Below are 23,472 nucleotides of genomic sequence, written 5' to 3'. Positions count from 1 at the left end.
ATTGGACCTATATATATATATATTCCTACTTCTTTCTCCCACCCTTTAAATTAAAAGCAGCATTTAACCTGTGTGTAACATGTGCTACTTCTACTGTGTATTCTAACATTAAAGACAAAAGGGAATCCCCTTTGGTGACAGGAGATATGTGTGTGTGTGTGTGTGTGTGTGTGTGTGTGTGTGTGTGTATACATACATACATACATACATGATGGGGAGGAGGAATAACACAAATTCATGCATGACTGTAAGAAAGTAAAATGCATATTGGACATAATAAGTGGACAGACATGAAAGTGCCAAGTATTTATGTAGAGAAAAGATATGAGGTAAGGCAGAAAAGAAAGGCTAAGGCAGGGCACAGTGGCTCATGCCTATAATCCCGGTGATTTGGGAGGCTGAGGCAAGAGGACCACTTGAGGCCAGGAATTTGAGACCATCCTGAGCAACACAGCAAGACCTCTTCTCTAAGAAAAAAATTTTAAATTAGCCGTGTGTAGTCCCAGCTACTCAGGAGGCTGAGGTGGGAAGATCGCTTGAGCCCAGGTTTTGGAAGGCTTCAGTGAGCTATGATTGTGCCACTGTACCCCAGCCTGGGTGATAGAGCGAAACCCTGTCTCCTAATTTATAAAAAGAGACTAAGATATTAAGACACATGAGGCACACACACACACACACAAACACACACACACGCATATATTAAAATAGTATATATATACACACATACATACATATACATATATAATGTGTATATATACACAGTATTGTCAATCATTTATTCAGTGTGATTATTTAAATTGTAATTTATATTATTTGATTAGATGAATTGAAAATATTTTCTGATTTATCTTTGTGTACCCTGATGATTGATCTTTCAAATACCCTGGAATAGGTGCATCTTTAAATAACACTGTTATGTGCAATGGAGATTTTGTAAAAAGGCAAATCAGGCAGTGCATTAGTTTAAAAAATCAAAACAGTACATTAGTTTAAAAGATTAAAAGAAAGATGAACAGACACTGATACACAGAAAAAGAACGAATACAAGATGCTAAAAATAAGAAAAATTAATAATATTATCTCCATAATCTATACATAAAGTAAAAGCAATGAGAACCAAGATAGTACCAGCCTCTGAAATCATATCTGTACATGTCAGTCTGCGGCATTCATCACTCCATATAGGATGGTACTATTGAAATAGAAGATTAGAATCTTGCTGATATAAGCATCTTAAGCCATTGAGTGAATAATGGAATGGCTCTATACCCCTCCTTAACCTTTGAGGACATTTATATACTATAATAGATAAAATATTTAATGTTTATAGTAAGTAGTTTTAATAATCCAAAAGTTAAATAATGTTTAATACAATAGTATATGTTGGCATAATTTCAAAAATTTTATAGTTATTATATTTAAATGTCATCTAAAATGCGCTATCAATAAAATTCACTCTCAAAATGTGCATGAGAGCCCACAAGAATTCTTCACTGGGATTAGGGACTTAAAAGCTACATTCTAGCAAACATCATATGTACATTGAATTTTAAATTTGCCTTAAGAGTGTATGTTTGAGCAGTCAGATGAGCTCTAATTTTTTTTTTTTTAAGTTTCTGGGCACTATGAATACTTTCATTCTCCTCCCGTGGATTAAACTCCTATAAAACACTCATGAAATATTCATATTTGTTTTCTCACTACTCACAAACATTTTTCTTACATAAATTAATATCATTTATTTGTACTATTTATTTGATTCATAAAATTATGCATGCACAGAAAAGCTCATTAATTTTATTGAAAAATTAAAAAAAGTATTTGCATAGAAGTTCTCCTTAACATATAGCAGAGACCAGGCTGAGTATAGAATTATGTATGAATTTGTGTCTTCATCTTAAGATAAGTGAGGAGGTTTCTAGCAGACAAGTAATTTTACCTAAAATTGTTATTTTGCTTAATTTTTCTCTTAGCTTAGTGCCTGTATACTTTGATCTACATGGTTTAAAATCATTAAGAATGTAATTACATACAACATCCTAATTTAGCTATGGTTCTCTTTATGGGTGCAATGAACACAGTCCAAGATATTCTTATTTGAATTTTAACATACAGAAACCTTTCCACAACATGCAAATCAGAACAAATTTTCTTTCACTGAAAATATGGAATTAGTGTGGATTACTTTTCTTCTTTTTTGCAATTCATAAGTTTACTGCAGTTTCATTTAACATAGTCAGATGAATTTTATAGTCAATTTCTCCTTTATCATATGAAATATAGTCATTTAGAAATGATAGTCTTTTTTCTTTGGGCATTTATGTTAGAAATAGTGTAATCATAGAAAATACTCTAGTAGAAAAATTTTAAAAGCACTGTAACTCATTAAGATTTTAAAATCTGTATAGTAGTTTAAAGCTAAGACCAAATACTGATTATTTTACTTATTTATTTATTTATTTATTTATTTATTTTACTTCAATTTCCAGGATACAGGTGCAGGTTCATTACATAGGTATATATGTGGCATGATGGTTTGCTGCACCTATAGACCTATCCTCTAAGTTCCCTCCTTTTGCCCCCACACACTCAACAGGCCCTGGTGTGTATCTTTCCCCTCCCTGTGTCCATGTATTCTCATTGTTCATCTCCCACTTATGAGTAAGAAATGAGGTGTTTGGTTTTCTGTTCCTGTGTCAGTTGCTGAGGATGATGGATTCCAACTTCATTCATGTCCCTGCAAAGGACATGTTCTCATTCCTTTCTATGGCTGCATAGTATTCCATGGTGTTTATGTACCACAATTTCTTTATCCAGTCTATCATTGATGGGCATTTGGGTTGGCTCCGTGACTTTGCTATTGTAAATAGTGCTGCAATAAACATACGTGTGCATGTGTCTTTAGGGTAGAATAATTTTTATTCCTTTGGGTATATATGCAGTAATGGGATTGCTGGGTCCAGTTATATTTCTGGTTCTAGATCTTTCAGGAATCTCCATACTGTCTTCCATGATGGTTGAACTAATTTACATTCCCATCAACAGTGTAAAAGCATTCCTATTACTCCACAACCTCTCTGGCATCTATTGTTTCTTGACTTTTTAATAATCAACATTCTGGCGAGTGTGAGATGGTATCTCATTATGGTTTTGATTTGCATTTCTCTAATGATCAGTGATGTTAAGCTTTTATTCGTAAGTTGGTTGTCCACGTAAATGTCTTCTTTGGGAAGTGTCTGTTCATATTCTTTGCCCACTTTTTGATGGGGTTGTTTGTTTTTTTCTTGTAAATTTGTTTAAGTTCCTTGTAAATTATGGATATCAGACTTTTGTCAGATGGGTAAATTGCAAACATTTTCTCCCACTCTGTAGGTTGCCTGTTCACTCTGATGATAGTTTATTTTGCTGTGCAGAAACTCTTTAGTTAAATCCCATTTGTCAAATTTGGCTTTTGTTGCAATTGCTTTTGGCTTTTCGTCATGAAGTTTTTGCCCATGCCTACGTCTTGAACTGCATTGCCTAGGTTTTCTTCTAGGGTTTTCATGGTTTTGGGTTTTACATTTAAGTCTTTAATCCATCTTGAGGTAATTTTTGTATAAGGTGTAAGGAAGGGGTCCAGTTTCAGTTTTTTGCATATTGCTAGCCAGTTTTCCCAGCACCATTTATTGAAAAGGATATCCTTTCCCCATTGCTTGTTTTGTCAGGTTTGTAGAATATCAAATGGTTGTAGATGTGTGGTGTTATTTCTGAGGTCTCTGTTCTGTTCATTGGTCTATATGTCTGTATTGATACCAGTAACATGCTGTTTTTGCTACTGTGGCCTTGTAGTATATTTTGAAGTCAGGTAGCTTGATGCCTCTAGCTTTGTTCTTTTTGCTTAGGATTGTCTTGGTTATACAGGGTCTTCTTTGATTCCCTATGAAATTTAAAGTAGTTTTTTTCTAATCTGTGAAGAATGTCTATGGTAGTTTGATGGGAATAGCATTGAAAGTAGAAATTACTTCGGGCAGTATGGACATTTTCATAATATTGATTCTTCCTATCCATGAGAATGGAATGTTTTTCCATTTCTTTGTGTCCTCTCTTATTTCCTTGAGAGTGGTTTGTAGTTCTCCTTGAAGAGGTACTTCACATTCCCTTGTTAGCTATATTCCTAGGCATTTTATTCTCTTTGTAACAATTGTGAATGGGAATTCATTTGTGATTTGGCTCTCTGCTTGTCTACTGTTGGTGTAAAGGAATATATGTGACTTTTCCACATTAATTTTTTATCCTCAGAGTCTGCTGAAGTTTCTTATCAGATTAAGGGCATTTTGGGCTGAGATGATGGGGTTTTCCAAATATAGAATCATAGCATCTGCAAACAGAGACAATTTGACTTCCTCTCTTCCTATTTGAATACTCTTTATTTCTTTCTCTTGCCTGATTGCACAGGCCTGAACTTCCAATACTATGTGGAATAGGAGTGATGACAGAATATGGGACTACGTAAAAAGACTGGGCTTATGATTGATTGGAGTACCTGAAGAAGATAGGGAGAATGGAAACAAGCAGGAAAACATACTTCAGGATATTATCCAGGAGAACTTTCTAACCCAGCAAGACAGGCCAACATGCAAATTTAGGAAAATACAGAGAACACTACTAAGATACTCCGCAAGAAGGTCAACCCCAAGACACATAATCATCAGATGCTCCAAGATTGAAATAAAATTAAAAAAAATGTTAAGGCCAGGAAAAGGTCAGGTCACCTACATGGGGAAGCCCATCAGACTAACAGCAGACCTCTCAGCAGAAACGCTACAAGCCAGAAGAGATTGGGGGCCAATATTCATCATTCTTAAAGAAAAGCATTTTCAATGCAGAATTTCATACCCGGCCAAACTAAGCATCATAACTGAAGGAGAAAAAAAATCATTTTCAGATAAGCAAATGTTGAGGGATTTTGTCACCACCAGGCCTGCCCTGCAAAAGCTCCTGAAGGAAGCACTAAATATGGAAAGGAAAAACTGGTACCAGCCACTGCAAAAACCACCAAAATATAAAGACCAATGACACTGTGAAGAAACTGCATCAACTAGTTTGCAAAATAACAAGATGGCATCATGATGACTCTTGATCAGGATCAAACTCACACATAACAATACTAACCTTAAATGTAAACAGACTAAATGCCCCAATTAAAAGACACAGACTGGCAAAGTGGATAAAGAGTCAAGACCCATCAGTGTGTTGTATTCTGGAGACCCATCTCACGTGCAAAGGCACACATAGGCTCAAAATAAAGGGATGGAGGAAAATTTACCAAGAAAAAAAAAAGCAGGAGTTGTAATCCTAGTCTCTGATGAAACACACTTTAAACCAACAAAGATCAAAAAATACAAAAGAAGGGCCTTACATAATGCTAAAGGGATCAAGTCAACGAGAAGAGCTAACTATGCTAAATATATATGCATCCAATACAGGAGCACCCACATTCATAAAACAAGCTCTTACAGACCTACAAAGAGAGTTAGACTCCCACACAATAACAGTGGGAGACTTTAACACCCCAATGACAATATTAGACAAATCAACAAGACAGAAAATCAACAAGGATATTCAGGACTTTAACTCAGCTCTGGATGAAGTGAAACTAATAGATATCTACAGAACTCTTCACCCCAAATCATCATAATATTCATTCTTCTCAGTTCCATATGGCATTTATTCTAAAATCGACCACGTAATTGGAAGTAAAACAATCTTCAGCAAATGCAAAATAACTGAAATCATAGCGAACAGCCTCTCAGGCCACAGTGCAATCAAATTAGAACTCAGGATTAAGAAACTCACTCAAAACCACACAATTAAATGGACATTCAACAATCTGCTCCTGAATGACTCCTGGGTAAATAATGAAATTAAGGCAAAAATTAAAAAGTTATTTGAAACCAATGAGAATGAAGAGATGAAGTACCAGAATCTCTAGGACACAGCTAAAGCAATGTTAAGAGGGAAATTTACAACACTAATTGTCTACATCAGAAAGCTAGAAAGATCTCAAATCGACACCCTAACATCACACTTAAAAGAGCTAGAGAAGCAAGAGCAAACTAACCACAAAGCTAGCAGAAGACAAGAAATAACTAAGATCAGAGAAGAATTGAAGGGGACAGTGACACCAAAAACACTCCAAAAAATCAATGAATCCAGGAGCTGGTTTTTTGAAAAATTAACAAAATAGATAGACCACTAACTAGTCTAATAAAGAAGAAAAGAGAGAAGAATCAAGTAGACACAATAAAAAAGATAAAGGGAATGTCACCACTGATCCCACAGAAATTCAAACTACCATCAGAGAATACTATAAACACCTCTATGCAAAGAAACTAGAAAATCTAGAAGAAATGGATAAATTCCTGGACACATACACCCTCCCATGACCAAACCAGGAAGAAGTCACATCTCTGAATAGAACAATAACAAGTTCTGAAATTGAGGCAATAATTAATAGCCTACCAACCAAAAAAAAAGCCCAGGACCAGACAGATTCACAGCCAAATTCTACCAGAGTTACAAAGAGGAGCTGGTACCATTCTATCTGAAACGATTCCAAACAATTGAAACGGAGGGACTCCCCCTAACTCACTTTATTAAGCCAGCATCATCCTGATACCAAAACCTGGCAGAGACACAACAGAAAAAGAAAGCTTCACGCCAATATCCCTGATGAACATCGGTATGAAAATCCTCAATAAAATACTGGCAAACTGAATCCAGCAACCCATCAAGAAACTTACCCACCATGATCAAGTCAGCTTCATCTCTGGGACGCAAATCTGGTTCAACATACACAAATCAATAAACGTAATCCATCACATAAGCAGAACCATTGACAAAAACCACGATAATCTCAATAGATGCAGGCCTTTGAAAAAATTCAACATCCCTTCATGTTAAAAACTCTAAAAATGCTAGGTATTGATGGAACACATCTCAAAAAAAGAAGAGCTATTTATGACAAACCCACAGCCAATATCACATTGAATGGGCAAAAACTAGAATTATTCCCTTTGATAACCAGTACAAATACTGATTATCTTAAAGTTTTTCTATAACAGTGAAGTTGAGTAGTATGATAGAGGGAAATCCAGTTACTTCCAGGGAATTGTAAATAACTAGTTTCAAAGAAATGCTGCAGGATAAACACCTTGAAGCATAAGTGGAAATTAATTTACAATGACCTTGAACCTCTGAGAAATCTATAGGTCCTCCTACAGAACAACTGCCTCTACTATAATGGAAAAGGGCTATCTCTCACTGAGTACTTAAAAAGAGAAATTTAGACCCATCCCATCAGAACTGTTATCCAAAGAAGCTTCATATCTGGTATGCTACAGCATTTGAAAAATGCAATACCTGTCATTGATTCATGTCATTGGACCAAATGAATCCTTTACTCATTGCTTATAAAAGATGTCTGCTAATATACATAAAAATACACAGTAATATATTTTTCCACAACACAGAAAGCAAGCACAATAGGGAAGAGAAGAAGAAAAAAGAAAAAAAAAATTATACTTTTAAGTTCTGGGGTTCATGTGCACAATGTGCAGGTTTGTTACATAGGTATACATGTGCCATGTTGGTTTGCTGCACCCATCAACTCGTCATTTACATTAGGTATTTCTCCTAATGTTATCCCTCCCCAGGCTCCCACCCCTCGGCAGTCCCCGGTGTGTGATGTTCCCCTCCCTCTGTCCATGTGTTCTCATTGTTCAACTCCCACTTATGAGTGAGAACATGCAATGTTTGGTTTTCTGTCCTTGTGATAGTTTACTGAGAATGATGGTTTCCAGCTTCATCCATGTCCCTGCAAAGGACATGAACTCATCTTTTTTTATGGCTGCATATTGAGAACAGAGACACAACATACCAAAATCTCTGGGACACATTTAAAGCTGCGTGTAGAGGAAAATTTATAGCACTAAATGCCCACAAGAGAAAGCAGGAAAATTTTTGTATAGTTAAAGTAATCCAGTGTTTGTAGGAGGGGCGAGGGTGGGATAAAGAGAAAGATCATTTCTTGTGGAATATCTTTTGAGGTACATCTCCCCTTAAAAAATATTTCAAGTAACATAGACTCATATCAATATTTTCTTTTATTATTTTTAGTAGTGCCATAACACAATGTAGAAAATTCCCCATAAATTTAGAAAAGTCACACTTTAGGTAACTCATTATTATATAGCAAACATCTTTAAGAAAATATATACTAATATGTAAATAAACCAGACAATGGCTCAGTCTATGGGCCTTTTCTTTCCCCTCTCTGCATTTATTTATTCCTCTGTTGACTTCACAATATCCTGACTTTAAGCATCCAAATGCAAGTGACTTTTAAATTTGTACCTACAGTCTAGACCTCTCTTTAGCCATCTTCTACTGCCTTCATGGTATTTCTACGGGATTAAAGACATCAGTTTAAGTCTTAATTCACAAGGCTGATTTCCACTCACCAAACAAGATGCACCTAGTTTTTCCCATCTTGGCAACTTTTAGTTGAGATTTTAGGTCTAAAATGTCAGAATCAGCTTCAGTTTCTTTATTTCGTTTATTTCCACCCTATGTCCTATCCTCCATGTTCCTACGCATCTAAGGAAATTCTCTGGACACTACCTTTAAAATATGTCTAGAATTTGACAACTTCTTCCCATCCCTCCTCAACTGCCTGGTTTGAGTGCTGTGTGTCTTTCATTTAGAAGACCACCATTGCCTCTGAACTGTTCCGCCTTATTGCACTCTTTCCTCAAGATAGTAGCTAGAGTGATCCTAGATATTTCAGGTCATTATACTCTACACAAAACACCCCAAAGGACTGCCTCTAAAAACCAGAAAAAGAATTGAAGTCCTGTGCGATCTTACAATGTGTTATATCAGTGCTTCTGGAACTTTAATGTGTATGTAAATATCGGGTCATCTTGTTAAAATGAAGTCTAGATTTCATAGACTTGAGAAAAGATACAAGAGTCTGCACTTCTAACAGTCCCTCAGGAGATGTCAGTACTGCCAGGTCATGTTCATTACATAGAGTACCCCTTTGCCTAGCCTCGTATCTTTCTGATTTCATCTCCTTACGCCATCTGATTTTTTCTCTCTAGTGCAACCATGCTGACCTCTTTGTTCCTTAATCAAACAAGCCCACTCCAGCCTAAGGGCACTTTTGTTAGCAGCTTAACTCTGCCTGGGAGGCTTTCCTCCAGGATACCACGTTCATCTTTCCCAGTCTCTGCTGAAAAATCACTTTGCCAATAAAACCTACCCTCACTACCTTACTTAAAATTGCTAAGTCTCCCAACCTTCTCAATATTTTCAATCCCTCTCTTCTTCCCTTTTCCCCATTGCTCTTTTAAACCTACGAAATAAGGCATAAAAATCATCTGAATCCATCTGTTAGAATCTAAGCTCCTTAAGGGCAAATAATTTTTTGTTTCATTCATTGATATAGTCCAAATATTTGAAAGCATGCATCACTAATAGTATATACTAAGTATATATTTGTTGGAGAATATTTAGTAATTAGATTTTTTAAATGTATATTTTGTTCAATATAACTAAAATAAATGAAGATAATCATCATTTTGAAGTGATGGTATGAGTAATCACTTTGTGCCAGAACTGGAAAGCTTGAGGTCTCGTGACAAATGGAGATTCACTAGGATGTCACTTAAAAGGTATTGTTTTTGTTTTTGGTATTCCATGCTTCGTAAAATAATAACTGTCTTTTAGTTTTGTAGACATGAAACATGTATGGGTTTCTCATGAAAACTGCATTAAAGTTTACCTGAAGGTGATGTAAATATTAACTACTGCTGAAGCAGAAACACTTCCAGAATTTAAAAATCTACAAATTGAGAGTGAAGTATGATGAGCAAGAGAGAAAAGTATGTTTGAAAATTTTGATTTGGAAGACTACAGGGTTATGAAGAATTTCATTAATTTTTATTTGAAACCCTGCTAATTCGAGTCATTTAAATGAGTCAATCAAATGAGTTTGATTGTTAACTTGACTTATATTTCTACCTAAAAATTGTCTTAAACAAACAGAAAAGTAAAATTCATCTAAAATGTTTACTAAGCTTGGTAAGTACATGTAGCTTTTACTTGTTGAATAGAATTTCTGAAATCTTTAACAGGTAAAAATGATATGAACTTTTCCATGTTTGCATTCTTATTAATCCATTTTTTTCTTTTCTTTTTTCTTTTTCTCTCCTTCTCTGTTTTTTCTTTTCTTTTCTTTTCTTTTTTTTGTTGTTGCTGTTGTAGGATTTCCTTCTGTTTCCCAGGCTGGAGTGCCGTGCTGCAATCTCAGCTCACTGCAACCTCTGCCTCCTGGGTTCAAGTGATCCTCCCATCTCAGCCTCCAGAGTAGCTGGGACCACAGGCGCCTGCCACCACACCCAGCTAATTTTTGTATTTTTGTCAATATGAGGTTTCGCCATGTTGCCCAGGTTGGTCCTGAACTCCTGAGCTCAAGCAGTCTGCCCACTTTGGCCTCCCTAAGAGCTGGGTTTACAGGCATGAGCCACTGTGCCAGGCCTATTTATTTTCAATATGAGATAACTACAATAGAGGAAGGCTGTTAAAAATGACATTTCATAATAAACTCTGTAGTTTATTTACTACTAATATACCCATGATAATTCATTAATTTTGATACATGTACTGTGGTATGTTATTATAAGGGGAGGTTGGGTGAAGGGTGTCTGAATACTTTTGGTACCATCTTTGAACTCATATATAAAAATCAAATTATTTTTAAGTAAAAGGTTATTTTAATGACACATTTTTTAAAATGTCAAGCTGTTAGAAATATGTAAGCATGAAATCTCTACATCAGCAGCGAACTAAAGTTTGTTGAGCCAAATATACTAAGAGAAATTCTACCATAACTTTAGCCCTAACGCAGAACTTTATGACTGCACAACTAGGCTAGTAGGAGTTACACATATTCCATGAGTCAGTTCCTCTGTTTTAAGAGATTTGGGAAGTTTCATTAGCCTCCTCTTATTTTTCACTAATGAAACCAATGACTCAGTATATGAATGAACATACACGTGTTCTATACTTGAATAAATGAATACATTTTGTACATCCCCAGCTGCTTATTAGGATGCAAGAGTAGTTTTCTTTGACAATGTGTATCATAGGTATAAAAACATTTCAACACATATCATTTAAAGAAATAGGAATAATTTGTTTTTTGAATGCTGGCTATATTTATTGCTGGTACTTTGCATATTTGCACCTAAGATTTCAGTATCTGATCTACTAAACTTTACTATATTTTAATTCAGGCCTTTATTCAAAATTAGTTTTCTGACCTATCAAGAACAGGCATATTGATTATAAATCAAAATCTATATTTCAAAACCCTATCAGGAAAAAAAGGTATATAAAAAACAAGAAAGCACTACTTTTCTACCAAACTGAAATAAGTTTCTCTACCACAAATATTTTTTCCTCCAGATTTCTATTAAAATAAAAACTTTTGCTAAAATTAAACCTGAAGGCCGGGCGCAGTGGCTCACGCCTGTAATCCCAGCACTTTGGGAGGCTGAGGGAGGCTAAGGCGATTGGATCACCTGAGGTCAGGAGTTCCAGACCAGCCTGGCCAACATGGTGAAACCCCATCTCTACTAAAAATACAAAAATTAGCCAGATGTGATGGCGCGCACCTGTAATCCCAGCTACTCAGGAGGCTGAGGCAGGAGAATTGCTTGAACCCGGGAGGCGGAGGTTGTAGTGAGCTATGATTGTGCCGCTGCAATGCAGCCTTGGGGGACAGAGCAAGACTCTGTATCAAAAAAAAAAAAAGGAAGTACTTACTTATTTTTATTTATTTATTTTTTTAGAGACAGTATCTTGTTGTGTTGCCCAGGTTGGAGTTCAGTGGCACAGTCATAGTTCTCTGCAGCCTTAAACTCTTGGGCTCAAGTGATTCTTCTGCCTCAGCCTCCTGAGTAGCTGAGACTACTGGCCCATTCCTTCACACCCAACTAATAAAAAACAATTTTTTTAGAGAGACGGGGTCTTGCTTTGTTGCCCAGACTGACCCTGAACTCCCGGCTTTGAACAATTCTCCCTCCGTACCTTCCCAAAATGTTGGTTTCACAAGCGTGAGCCACCATGCCTGGCCTAACATTTTAAAATATTGATATTGTCATTTGTATTAAGAAAACTGAAAAAAAAAGAGTAGCTGTTTGTAAGATTAGTATTTTCTCTTCATTAAGTGGCCAGTGAGGTGTATGAAACCCACAAAATATTATATGATTTGGCAATGAATACATCCTGTAGCTTCCCCAACCAAAAAGTCTTGCTACAGCTGTGATACATGTTTCTCACTCAAAATGAAGAGTCACACTGACTCACATTCTATATCTCTATAGTTCGAGTTGTTGATATGTGACTGGTTCACAATTCCTTACAGTTTGAAAATTAGTTTCATGTCACATCATTGGTTGGGATAATTAGTACGGCTTCAGCTAAACCTTCAAAAAGAATATAATAATAGGCCTGGCTTCCATTGTACCTTAAACCTAGGACCAGGTGCACAGTGAGAAGGTAAAATTAATAAGAATTTGTTAATGATTTATTTAAGATTAGAATCTACTAACAGGACAGTATTTATGCTACAATATTCATCTTAAATAGCATTGCAGTCCACCAAGAGCTGATAATTACTTCTGGGTGGTGACATCAGCAATTAGAATTGGACACATCAATAAGTGTATTCAAAATCATATATATTTACTACCAAGGAAAAGTAACTAAACATTAAACTCACATAAATTAGAATAAATAAAGCTGCTCAGAGGGAAAAGATAGCTGAAATGTTGAGACCATATGTACCTGCATTTTCAGAGATAAACCTAAATCTATCTTCTAACAAATGCTTCAGAGAATGAGTATAATTGTGCTTACATAGAATTCTTAAACTTTAAGATATATGATTAACACAACCTGTGATTTACAAAACGAAGGCACAAACAAGCTTTTCCTTAGTATTCAAATATATATATATATAATATGTGCTTTAAATATGTATTCTAATTTTCAACAATATCTTCTCCTAGATAGCCAGAAAAACAAGCCTTCTAAGTACACCTAGAAATTATGCATATCATTTTCGAAAATCTTTTCAAATCCACTGATTATCTCACAGAAAAGGAAAGCAAACTCTGAAACATCAAAAATGAAGTGTGTGGAAAGACCAGGAGCTAGAGGAGCAGCCATATAATTGTTTTTTCTATAAATTGTGGCAGTTTTCTGGTACTCAGATTCTCAGAGCTTTTGCATGGGTCTCTGATGTACAAGATTGGTTTTGAATGGCCTCAGTGGGTTAAAAAAAGATTCAAAATGGGGAGATGAAGTGGGGATCCCTGCATAAACCGGGACCGTTAATATCCTTAGAATGAAATAAAAGGGTGTGCTAGAAACACACACACACACACACACACACACAGAATCTTGGTGGGGGATTGGATAAATACTTCTTTGAAAATTCATAACCATTGAATTGCTCACATAGTATAAATTGCTCACATGATCGATCTGGTGAGGCTGATATTCGTCAATACAATAGAGGTTGGAAGAAATGTTGTGTGGAATTTCTGGCATGCCCCAGTGGAAGAATTACAGTAAAGTCTTCTGGTTTCTTGATCAAGGTAATGTTATATGCAGTGCAGAGTTGTGTACCTTAAAAACAACAATAACAACAACAACGACAACTCCCGGCATACCACTGGAGCCTGAACTGTAGCTCACTCCATTGGCTGAATTCTGCTTCATCTTCACTCTTTTCAAAAGTGTGTTAATCTCTCATAAACACTTTGAACCTTAGTTTCCATTTAAAAGTTGCTTCTGGCGAGGCGTGGTGGTTTATGCCTGTAATCCCAGCACTTTGGGAGGATGAGGCAGGTAGATTGCCTGAGCTCAGGAGTTTGAAACCAGCCTGGGTAACATGGCAAAACCACATTTTTACTAAAAAATACAAAAATAAAAAAAAAAATTAGCCAGGTGTGGTGGTGCACACCTGTAATCTCAGCTACTAGGGAGGCTGAGGCACGAGAATCGCTTGAACCCGGCAGGCGGAGGTTGCAGTGAGCTGAGATCACGCCACTGTCCTCTAGCCTGGACAAGAGCAAGATTCTGTCTCAAAAAAAAAAAAGAAAAAAAAAGTTGCTTCTGTAGACACATACTTATTGGAAGGGGATGTATAATGGATTCACTTAAGACCCAGTCAGAGGTGCTATAAAATAATCCTTTCCATTCTCCTACCTCCACCAAATTTCAGTATTCCCTCTACCCTAATATGCTTTTGGTACTTGAAACAATGACATAAACAAGGCATACGAGGTCCACTCATGGAGTTTATAAACTAGGAGAAAAAATCCTTCAGAGTTATAATGTAAGAGAAGTACCATAAAATATAATATGTTATATATTAAAATATGCACAATACAATATAACATCTGAAATACAGTGCCACTTGGCAGTCACTCATTCTGGAGGAAGAGGGAATTTTACTGTGAGAGCACTTTCAAGGACTGATTGTGAAAGTATGTTGTAAGTGGTTCAGGGTAAAACAATAATTCTGGGAAGTATTAAAAGGACCTAAGTCAGTCAGATGGGAAAATGTGAGTAAGGTGGAAATGCTACTTTAAAGGACATAGTGACTCATTGAAATCACAGAAACAAAATGAAAGTATGTTTGGTTAAAGTAGAACGTTTCAGTCAAAACTATGTCATATGTTTCAATAATCAAATCATTCCTGTCAATTTACAGTAAATATAATTATGACTATTAACATCACATTTCATATTTCTGTCAGCAAAAATCATGTTATTCTGATGAATATCTTTACTATGTCTTTACAAAATAATACATCTCTTGGCTAAAGAAAGAATAAGTGCCAGACACACATATCTTACAACGTTAGGGGTGGTCCCAATGGAATTACTCAGCTTCTTTCCCTGGGTACTCATTGCATTTATATTGATCTTACAGTTACATATTTACATTCATGCCTGCTATACAAATATGGAGTCTACACTAAGAAATCCTTAAAAACTTGGTTTTCCCCAAAACATGATTTTATATATAAAGTGAGATCACATCACCATTTGAGATATAAAGTGTAAATGCAGCAATAAATAAATCCCATTACACAGGTACTCTTAATCTCAAGTAGAAAGAATAGTACCAGCACAGCCATAAGAAACTGTATGGAAACATGTAGCGGGCATGTTTCTGTAGTGCTGTAATTTTCAACTGAGACAATTCATAGAGAGAAGAAAAAAACATTAAATACCTAAGATTTGAGAAGAGGTCAGGCACCTCCTGCAGAGTTAAAGAAGAAGATGTTAAACTGGGTTTGCAACCCAAGCCTTGAGAATTAACTCCCATGCCCCCTGTCCTTCCCACTCCCCGCAATGTAAGCAGAAAACTAGGCGGAGGAAAAAATCCACTGATGAAACTAGTAAGTCTTCCACCCAGAAGAAAGCGCAGTGATGCTTCCCTCCCAGTAAGTGAAGGTAAGTCCAAGAGGTGAACAGAACCCACTGAATTGTTTGGCACAAGAGATGAGAGGAGAGATATGATATTTGCATCGCAATTTGGAAATTTGGACTTCTGCTTTTACAGAGGATTGATCTACTATGTCTCTTTAAAATGAGGAGAAAGAAAATGAGAAAGAGATCAGCTGCAAAGAAATGCAGTTTCTTACATCTTAGCTAAGTGAGAATGTGGAGCATTTCTCTTGGTCAAGTGGAAATTGCATAATGTTAGTGGGTGACATTCACACTTAAAAGAAATCCTGCTGAAGTAAAGGGTGAGGAAAGGTATAAAGAGCTCAAGCTAAGCAGCACCCCATGATGAATATTCTGTCTCCAAAAAGGAATATTCTATCTCCAAAAATGAAATATTCTATCTCCTTCTGGTGTGCTTGCACTCCAGTCACACATCCCCAAGGGGCAGGTACTTAGATGCCTGTCCCACAGAGGGCAGGTGACAGCGACAGCCCAATGAGGTCAACAGCACCAGAAACATGAGGTATTTGATCTCTTTCACCTTCCCAAGACAAGATGCAGTTCATTTCACCATTAAGCTCCCCAGGTTGAGGTTTATCTTTCATGGAGGCCAGAGACAATGTGAATGCAAAATTAAACATTATTATAAGTTTTAAACTGTGCATGGCTGAACTGTTTATTCTGGAAGGCAGCGATGCTCACCACTATACCAACAATATTGAACTTTTTTTTTCTAATACTGGAAGATGATAATATATCTACAGTGTCTGCCAAATATATTATTAAATAACTGAAAGGGAGAATCAAAAAGAAGAGCTTAATGTAGTAGTCAAATTTAAAATTCATGTTTATACTGCACTGAGTTGAGATCATACAGTGGTTTGATTACATAACTGTAACTTGATTTTAAGGTACTCATTAACATACCTATGGAAGATGAATCAACAATGGAAACAGAAAAAAGTACTAATGCTGTCATTTTCCTCAAATCAAAGTGAGAAATCCCTAGCCACAAGACTTTTGAGTATTTTATTCTCATTCGCAAGCTTTTAACTGTCCCAGTCTGAGGCCACTAAACATTCTATGCACGCAGCTTCCCTAGTTCATATTCTAGACTCACCAAACAAGTTTCTGACTCTCATTTTGTATCTTCATAATATACCAACAGGTAAAGTATGTACTTATATAGACTCTGAATGTTCTAATTTCTGTGACAGTTATTTCTCATTTCAAAGTAACGAATGTGCTTTGTTATTATATTTCAGTTTTATAAACATAGTGATCTGCCTCTGACAGATGGACAGGTAAGATAAAATGTCAGGATTTTTACCTTGATCAACTTGGCCAGATCAAGGGCACTATAAATTCTCCATCGTGCTGCACCTTTGCAAGAAGTCTGGAGGGAGCCTATTAACCTTTTCCTGGGTTTGGCAGGGCTAGGGTGCAGCAGCACTTTTGTGCCGTGTTCAATTTCTATAATATTCAGACTTAATATTAATTTTCTGTGTGCTTGTGCTTGAGCACAAACACTGAGTTTTATGCAGTTTAGGAAATAATGCCTTTTTTCCTTCTGTTTTTCACCTACCACCCTCCTTTTTCTCTCTTTTATTTTTATTTTATTTTATTTTATTTTATTTTATTTTATTTTATTTTATTTTATTTTATTGAGATGGAGTCTTGCTCTGTCGCCCAGGCTGGAGTGCAGTGGTGCGATCTCGGCTCACTGCAAGCTCCACCTCCCAGGTTCACGCCATTCTCCTGCCTCAGCCTCCCGAGTAGCTGGGTCTACAGGTGCCTGCCACCACATCCGTCTAATTTTTTTTTTGTACTTTTAGTAGAGACAGGGTTTCGCCATGTTAGCCAGGATGGTCTCGGTCTCCTGACCTCATGATCCACCTGCCTCAGCCTCCAAAAGTGCTGGGATTACAAGCATGAGCCACCGCTCCTGGCCCTTTCTCTCTTTTAATAAAATAAAACAAAACAAAATTTAAAGTAGCACAATATTCCTGCATCCAGGTTAATAATTTTTTAAAAAAAAACTATAGTCCTTCGTCTCACTCATTGTTTTTGGGGGGCACTGTCTTTATAAATCTCTCCTAAACCACACAATGTGCACAGATAATATAATCCAAGTATTTCATAATTAAAATAAATAATATGAGCTCATCAGTTTGAGAACATTATTTGAAGTATATGGTACATGATAGATGACTGATTAATGTTTCTGATACTTCTATCAAAAACCCATAGTTATGCTCAGTGCAAACTGATAAAGTAGGGTCAACACAGATGAGACCAGGATGATTTCATTTGCTTTCTCTCTATGTTCACTAGAATTGGTTCCCTCTTTCTTTCTCAGGAAGGCTCTTGCTTTTTACTGAACCCCTACACCATATGTGTTAGGGTCAAGGTAGGATCCTCATAGAACAGACCTATGGAACATTAATTTCCTCACTATTTTATGCTTCCCTTTTGGAACACTCAGTATGGTTCTGTGTCTTAAACAACAGAGGCCAACGCTGGTAATTCTTATTATTTCCTGCTTTAGTTTTGTCTCCTCCTAATGAGAAAACAAACTACATTTTCATAAGACGATGAAATTTTACGTAAGTGAAAAGAAGCTCTGTAAATTATTTTGATTTTTAATAGAAATATAAAAGTAAAAAAATATAAAAATACAAAAAGTAAACAAATATATAAAATTCTACAGATTTTTAGAGATGGCTTCATAAGTATAGAAGGTAACTACATTTTGCAGTATCATTTTCACACCTATTCTTGAGAGAAATATTAATAAATGAAACATGAGCATACATTTCATAAAATCCAGCCATCATATCTAGTATGTGAGCAATTGCCTTTCCACCAACGAATTTTTTTAAAGTGACTTCTTCCTCCAGAATTGAACTCTGCTGATTCTACTAAGCTCTTTCATTTTTACTGAAGATGGAAACTATTCACTCTGTATTCGAGTTATTATCAAGAAGAATGGGGCACAGAAAATATCTTCCCAACACCATTTTATTAAAAGAAAAGAAAATGTTGGAGGAAACCGAAAAAGCCAATCATACAGGTATACTGAAGATCAGCTTGAATTAACCAACACATTTTGAAATTGTTGACTCACTTTGAACTCCATGGGAGCGTACAATTTTCCAGATTTCTGACGCTACTTCTTTGACATCCACCTGATAGTGATGAATAGGTACACCTCCATGGGAGTCCGGTTTGTTGAAGGAAACCTTGGCCGTGGTCTGCGACAGCTCTATGATCTTCACTCCATAGGGACTGGATGGCACGTCTATGGACAAAGAAATATAAAGAAAACATAACCAAGGGAATGGGAATGGCCATTATTAAGGCTTATGGTGTTATGAGAACTAGGAGTGAAGGAAAACTGCTACCTGTATCACTTAATATGTTCGAGTTACAGAACTTCCTGAAACACCTGAATGTTCTTTTGAAATTACAAGAAAGTATACATGAGTCAACTTTTATTACCTCAGAAAATAGACAGTAAAATTAAAATCACACTTTAATTATTGAGGGAATATGTTACTTCTGCATTTTCTATACGATATAAACATTTTATTGAGGTCCAGGAAAACAATCTCGTGTGTGTTTAAGAAAAAAAAATAAAAGAGAGATAAAGAGGGTAGTTAAAACGTTAGAATACATAAATCAATTATTCAACCATCACCATAAATAATGGTGCCTTGTGAAAATACAAAATGTATTTTCTTTGCATTCACCACAATTATATTCCTAAATTGTAGGTAAGTGCTAAGTTTTGAGAAAAATGTCAGTATTATGAACTAAATAAGACTGTAAACTATTAGGTCTAATTTCATTTATATATTATCCAATTAAATTAAACCTTTAGTTGAGATATTAAAATACTATTCCCATATTTTCAAAATAGCTATAAAATTCTTCTTGTGTGTTTTATTTTAATCCATCCACTACTTAAATTATTTCAAGTTCAATAAGGTATCTTAGGTGGACATTTAATTTAGTGTCTAATATAAAAAATTATTTCGGAAGAATTATCTCAAAGGCAGAGCACGCAGAACTAGAAAAAAAAAAAATCCCAGTGAGGGATTTTTGAAAACTCTACTCCAGAAACATCAAGATTTAGAGACACATTAACATTAATTTCTCTATGAATCTCTTCCTCTTTTGTTCCTATCACATCTGAAATAATCTTAAACTTTGGATAAAAAAATAATTTTTTTTCAGAGAGGGAATATATATATATGTATACACACACACACACACACACACAAACATATATTATATGGTTTGGCTCTGTGTCCCCACACAAATCTCACCTTGAATTTTTTTTTTTTTTTTTTTTTTTTTGAGACGGAGTTTCGTTTTCTGGCCAGGCTGGAGTGCAGTGGCGTGATCTCAGCTCACTGCAACCTCAGCCTCCCCTGGGTTCATGCCATTCTCCTGCTTCAGCCTCCAGAGTAGCTGGGACTACAGGTGCGCACCACCACGCCCAGCTAATTTTTGTATTTTTAGTAGAGATAGGGTTTCACCATGTTGGCCAGGATGGTCTCAATCTTTTAACCTCGTGATCTGCCCACCTTGGCCTCCCAAAGTGCTGGGATTACAGGAGTGAGCCACAGTGCCTGGCCTCACCTTGATTTTTAATTCCCATAATCCCCATGTGTCAAGGGTGGAACCAAGTGGAGGTAACTGAATCATGGGGGCGGTTTCTCCATGCTGTTCTCATGATAATGAATAAGTCTCATGAGATAAGATTGTTTTATAAATGGTCTGGCTCTTCCCGTTTTTATAAAGGTCTGGCATTTCCCCTGCTGGCACTCACTCTGTTCTGCCGCCCTGTGAAGGTGCCTGCTTCTCCTTTGCCTTTCAGCATAATTGTAAGTTTCCTGAGGCCTCCCCAGGAATGCAGAACTGTGAGTCAATTAAATTTCTGTCCTTTATAAATTATCCAGTCTCAGATATTTCTTCATAGCAGTGTGAGAATGGGCTAATATATATAAACTTGACTGATAAATATGCAGTACATGTGAATTTCAATTCTTATATCAGTCATTTACATAAAATTGGGGCTGGGCATGATGGCTTACAACTGTAATCACTGCACTTTGGAAGCTGAGGTGGGCGGATTACTTGAGGTCAGGAGTTTGAGACCAGCCTGGTCAACATGGTGAAACCCTGTTTCCACAAAAATAAAAAAAACAGCCGGGTGTAGTGGAGTGTGCCTGTGATTCCAGCTGCTTGGGAGGCTGAAGCAGGAGAATTGGTTGAACCCAGGAGGTAGAAGTTGCAGTGAGTTGAGATCATGTCCCTGCAAATCCAGCCTGGGCAACAGAGAGAGACTCTATCTCAAAAATAAATAAATACAAATAAAAAATCTCATATGGCAGTCAAAAGTCAAATGTACTCTTTTTGCTAGAGTTAAAAAAGGTCACTGTAGGTCATATAAAAATATGCCTTATAAATAGTACTGAGCAAGAGCCAGGAGCACAGCTTTACGGCCTTTCACATGTGAATACTGTAAAGAAATGCCACAGTGTATATTTCAACTCTAATTAGAAACTGTGAATTATTTAGAGAGCCTATGAAGTACATGATGTTACAACTCTAAGGTTCAAACACACGTGTAGAATTCTGATGCATCCAAAAGTCTTAGAACTATTAAAATCATATCTGGAAATACAAATTTTAAGATATCTAAATAATGTTTTGGCCTTCAAATATTCTAATAATTTTCATGTTTCCTTAATCTCCAGGTTAATCTGCATGTCTTTTCAGCTGTAGGTTTGATCCAAAATTTACTTATAAGTTTGATCCAAAGTATAGGAGAAAGGCAAACAAATGCACACGGATCCCCTTAAAAAATGCCAATTCTTCAATCTGTGCTGAGTGGCTGACTCCCTAATGTACATTAGGTCTAAGTTGGATGTCATAGGCATTACACTCCAGTTTGGGGACATGTGTCAAAAGTGAAGGTAGTATATTCTGGGGGATGAGAGGGAGATATTATCTATCCTCTTGGGCTTCCATCTTTGAATATATGGTATAAACATGATTGTTTGTTTTTACTCTGACTGCAGAGGTTGCACCATTCACCAACTGTGCACCCTGACATGGTGCACCTGCAGAGAAAGAAGAGCCTTTGTTTTTTCTTTCAGCACAAAGCCACCATCATCAAAACATGGGCCAGTGCCTAGTCTCTTCTAGTTATATAGTCCGTTTTCAGATCTGCTGACACTTACTGTAGCCTTTTTTTCATATTATTTTCCACTGGCCTCTTATTTCTATTACTTCTTTTAAAGCAAAAGCATGCTTATGACTTTCATTCTCTTTCTAAATATTTTTTACATTTTGGTTTTATAAGTCCAACTGTCAACTGACTACTAAATTGTAAGTTTCTTGAGGAAAGAGATAAAACACTTTACAAACACACATTCGCACACATGTATTTATACATGCATACAGATAGATACATGTAACATAGAACAAAGTGACTGGAATATAGTAAGTTCTCAGGAAATACTTGATGAATTAAATATTTCAGTAATGAAAAATTATATACAAAGATACAGAACATATCTAAGTGAATAGTGTCAGATGTGCCTAGAATCAACATCTCTAATTCTTCTCTTCACTTTCTGGATTTTTCTGTAATCTGTAATTGTCTTCACCCTTGATTCCTATCTATCTTATACATCACAATCAGTCAAAACACTATTTTAATAATTCCTGCATTATAATTCTTGTATCTATTTCTTCCTTCCCATTTCCTCTGTTACCTCCCAAGCCCTGGCCCTATCTGACTTTTCCTGTGATGCCATTAGTGGCTCTTGGCTTCCTTTTCTATTGGATGTCTAACAAAAACATCAATGCACGAGGCATGCAAATGCAAAATCAATCTTTGTAAAGAACCACTCTGATCACATCACTTCCCTGCAATGGTATTCAGGAGCTTCATTTTCATTACAACATTAGTCTCGATCTTTTCAGCCTCATGTTCAGGATCCTGGATTATCTAATGCACTGGGTGTATGCAAAGATACTGGTCTACTCTAAAAGACTTTCAGACACAGCCCAATATTTCAACTGAGGCTCATATCGGATGCTCAGTTTTACACACTATTATTCCTTCATTGTTACCATATTTTTCTAAACTATTTTCTAGTGTCTTATATCCCAAAAATTGATGAATACCATTCACCACTCAATGAATGAATAAATGAATAGAAAAGCAATTGTGCAAATACTTATTTGTTTAATTACCCTTTCTCTTCACCTCTAACAGTGCTGGCAAAGTGCTGGATTAAGAGACTGGATATGTCATGAGAGTCCATGGATTCAAGACCTGGCCTTGCCACTTTTGTCAACTACAGCACTTAATCTTTTCACATCGCAGTAGTTTTCTCTCTCAAATGGAGATTAGAATAGTACGACGGCGAGTGTTGTTGGAAATATCAAGTAATGTTGAGCACTTAAACCCTAGAATACGTTAAAACTCTTAGCAAATGTCAGTCATTGTAATTTTTCTATCCCTCCCTGATCATCAGCCTCCTTCTATTACATACTTTTGTATCCATTGACATGTATCAATGTTTTAGTCAAATGGCAGGTAATGGATACAATATCGATGTTCAGCTCAGAATTTTTTGAGGTGTGTAATGGCAAGGAGTTGGTGCCATGACCTAGGAGTCAGATGGATACAATCTCTGGAGTCACTGAATGAACTTGTGTTTATTAAACTCCCAGAAGCTATTCATCTTGCATAACTGAAACTTTTTAATCTTTGTCCAACATCTTCCCATTTCTCCCACTCCCCAGCCCCTGGCAACTACCACTTTTCTCTGTTTCTATGACTTTCACTGTTTTAGAATTCCACATATAAGTGAG

At 36.3% G+C, this 23,472-nt stretch overlaps 1 protein-coding gene across 16 annotated transcripts in view; it reads right to left on the bottom strand.

The window, feature by feature from the left end:
• NCAM2 (neural cell adhesion molecule 2) overlaps positions 1-23,472 on the bottom strand; it is a 544,921-nt gene that overhangs the window by 92,348 nt on the left and 429,101 nt on the right. For 15 of the 16 annotated variants that reach the window (NM_001352592.2, NM_001352591.2, NM_004540.5 and 12 more), the window contains one exon: positions 18,701-18,874. In NM_001352592.2, coding sequence (NP_001339521.1) covers positions 18,701-18,874 — 174 coding nt within the window. Of the gene's footprint in view, positions 1-18,576; positions 18,875-23,472 lie in introns of those variants that run through there. The other variant, NM_001352596.2, reaches the window with a different exon arrangement.

The sequence above is a fragment of the Homo sapiens genome, chromosome 21, assembly GCF_000001405.40.
Source record: "Homo sapiens chromosome 21, GRCh38.p14 Primary Assembly".
Taxonomy (NCBI): Eukaryota; Metazoa; Chordata; class Mammalia; order Primates; family Hominidae; genus Homo; species Homo sapiens.
The sequence above is the reverse complement of the archived record's forward strand: the minus strand, read 5'-3'. Positions and strand labels throughout refer to the sequence as shown.